Consider the following 3,292-nt stretch of genomic DNA (forward strand, 5'->3'; position numbering starts at 1 on the left):
GGCATCCCTGTCTTGTGCCAGTTTTCAAAGGAAACGCTTCCAGTTTTTGCCCATTCAGTATGATGTAGGCTGTGGGTTTGTCATAAATATCTCTTATTATTTTGAGATATGTCCCATCAATACCTAATTTATTGAGAGTTTTTAGCATGAAGGGCTGTTAAATTTTGTCAAAGGCCTTTTCTGCATCTATTGAGATAATCATGTGGTTTTTGTCTTTGGTTCTGTTTATATGCTGGATTATGTTTATTGATTTGCGTATGTTGAACTAGTCTTGCATCCCAGGGATGAAGCCCACTTGATCATGGTGGATAAGCTTTTTGATGTGCTGCTGGATTCGGTTTGCCAGTATTTTATTGAGGATTTTCGCATCGATGTTCATCAAGGATATTGGTCTAAAATTCTCTTTTTTGGTTGTGTCTCTGCCAGGCTTTGGTATCAGGATGATGCTGGCCTCATAAAATGAGTTAGGGAGGATTCCCTCTTTTTCTATTGATTGGAATATTTTCAGAGGTACCAGCTCCTCCTTGTATCTCTGGTAGAATTCAGCTGTGAATCTGTCTGGTCCTGGACTTTTTTTGGTTGGTAGGCTATAAATTATTGCCTCAATTTCAGAGCCTGTTATTGGTCTATTCAGAGATTCAACTTCTTCCTGGTTTAGTCTTGAAGGACTCTTCGAGGAGAACTACAAACCACTGCTCAATGAAATAAACGAGGACACAAACAAATGGAAGAACATTCCATGCTCATGGATAGGAAGAATCAATATCATGAAAACAGCCATATTGCCCAAGGTAATTTATAGATTCAATGCCATCCCCATCAAGCTACCGATGACTTTCTTCTCAGAATTGGAAAAAACTACTTTAAAGTTCATATGGAAGCAAAAAAGAGCCCGCATCGCCAAGTCAATCCTAAGCCAAAAGAACAAAGCTGGAGGCATCACGCTACCTGACTTCAAACTATACTACAAGCCTACAGTAACCAAAACAGCATGGTACTGGTACCAAAACAGAGATATAGACCAATGGAACAGAACACAGCCCTCAGAAATAATACCACACATCTACAACCATATGATCTTTGACAAACCTGACAAAAACAAGAAATGGGGAAAGGATTCCCTATTTAATAAATGGTTCTGGGAAAACTGGCTAGCCATATGTGGAAAGCTGAAACTGGATCCCTTCCTTACACCTTATACAAAAATTAATTCAAGATGGATTAAAGACTTAAATGTTAGACCTAAAACCATGAAAACCCTAGAAGAAAACCTAGGCAATACCATTCAGGACATAGGCATGGGCAAGGACTTCATGTCTAAAACACCAAAAGCAATGGCAACAAAAGCCAAAATTGACAAATGGGATCTAATTAAACTAACAAGCTTCTGCACAGCAAAAGAAACTACCATCAGAGTGAACAGGCAACCTACAGAACGGGAGAAAATTTTTGCAATCTACTCATCTGACAAAGGGCTAATATCCAGAATCTTCAAAGAACTCAAACAAACTTACAAGAAAAAAACAAACAACCCCATCAAAAATTGGGCAAAGGATATGAACAGACACTTTTCAAAAGAAGACATTTATGCAGCCAAAAGACACATGAAAAAATGCTCATCATCACTGGCCATCAGAGAAATGCAAATCAAAACCACAGTGAGATGCCATCTCACACCAGTTAGAATGGCAATCATTAAAAAGTCAGGAAACAACAGGTGCTGGAGAGGATGTGGAGAAATAGGAACACTACACTGTTGGTAGGACTGTAAACTCGTTCAACCATTGTGGAAGACAGTGTGGTGATTTCTCAAGGATCTAGAACCAGAAATACAATTTGACTCAGCCATCCCATTACTGGGTATATACCCAAAGGATTATAAATCATGCTGCTATAAAGACATTCACACGTATATTTATTGTGGCACTATTCACAATAGCAAAGACTTGGAGCCAACCCAAATGTCCATCAATGATAGACTGGATTAAGAAAATGTGGCACATATACGCCATGGAAGACTTTGCAGCCATAAAAAATGATGAGTTCATGTCCTTTGTAGGGCCATGGATGAAGCTGTAAACCATCATTCTCAGCACACTATTGCAAGGACAAAAAACCAAACACCACATGTTCTCACTCATAGGTGGGAATTGAACAATGAGAACAGTTGGACACAGGAAGGGGAACGTCACACTCCGGGGCCTGTCGTGGGGTGGGGGTAGGGGGGAGGGATAGCATTAGGAGATATACCTAATGTTAAATGACAAGTTAATGGGTGCAGCACACCAACATGGCACATGTATGCATATGTAACAAACCTGCACATTGTGCACATGTACCCTGGAACTTAAAGTATAATAATAAAAAAAAAAGAAGGAAAATGTGTGTGGAACATGCGGGAGTGGTGCACTAGGGTGCGGGTGCAGGTTTGCACATCTTGTTCCAATGGCTGTCTTCAGTAATTGCCCATCTGGAGGTCTGGTTTGAGTCACCCTGACTTCAGCCCGGTAGTGATGGGCTAAATGTTTGTAACTCCCCTTAAGCAGGAGGATTCTGTAGCTGGGTCTTTCTGCCTGGTTTGTTTCAAAATTGGCCTGTGGAATTTCTAAGCAAGAACAGAATTAGGTAAGTGAGTACTGTTCACGAATGTACCTGGTGGAAAAGGGAGAAACAAAGAGCTTCAAAATATGTTTCAAGGCTGAAAGCAAGATAGGAAAAAATTGGCTTTTGGGACTACTTGGGATAATTGGTTACAGAGTTACACTTAGAAAACTAAAGAATAGAATCTCCAAATAAAACCAAATAAGAACCAGAGAAGTACCTTAAAAAGATTAATGTCTATTAGGCAAGTAAATCCTAGTCTGGGGCTTAATCTGAAAGAGATCTTAATGGGTCTGAGCACATGTATTTCTGGGAATAGCCATAGCAGAATTGCTTGTGAGTTTGATGCAGTGGAAACGCCTTAAATGTCTAATAGGAAATTAAAAAATAAAGTATGACGCAGCTACAAAATAGAATATTATACAGTCAATAAAAACGATGATGGGTCATTTGTTCTTAATAATTTTTGGTTCATAGACACCCCCCCTCTTTTAGAGACAGGGTCTTGCTCTGTCACTCATGCTGGAATATAGTAGTGCAATCATAGCTCACTGAAACCTCGAATTCCTGGGCTTAAGAGATCTTCCCACCTCAGCCTCACCAGTAGCTAGGACTACAGGTGCACACCACCATGCCCAGCTAATTAAACTTTTTTTGTCATAGAGATGAGGTCTGGCTATACTTTCTAGGC

The sequence above is a fragment of the Homo sapiens genome, chromosome 9 (assembly GCF_000001405.40).
Source record: "Homo sapiens chromosome 9, GRCh38.p14 Primary Assembly".
NCBI classification, from domain to species: domain Eukaryota; kingdom Metazoa; phylum Chordata; class Mammalia; order Primates; family Hominidae; genus Homo; species Homo sapiens.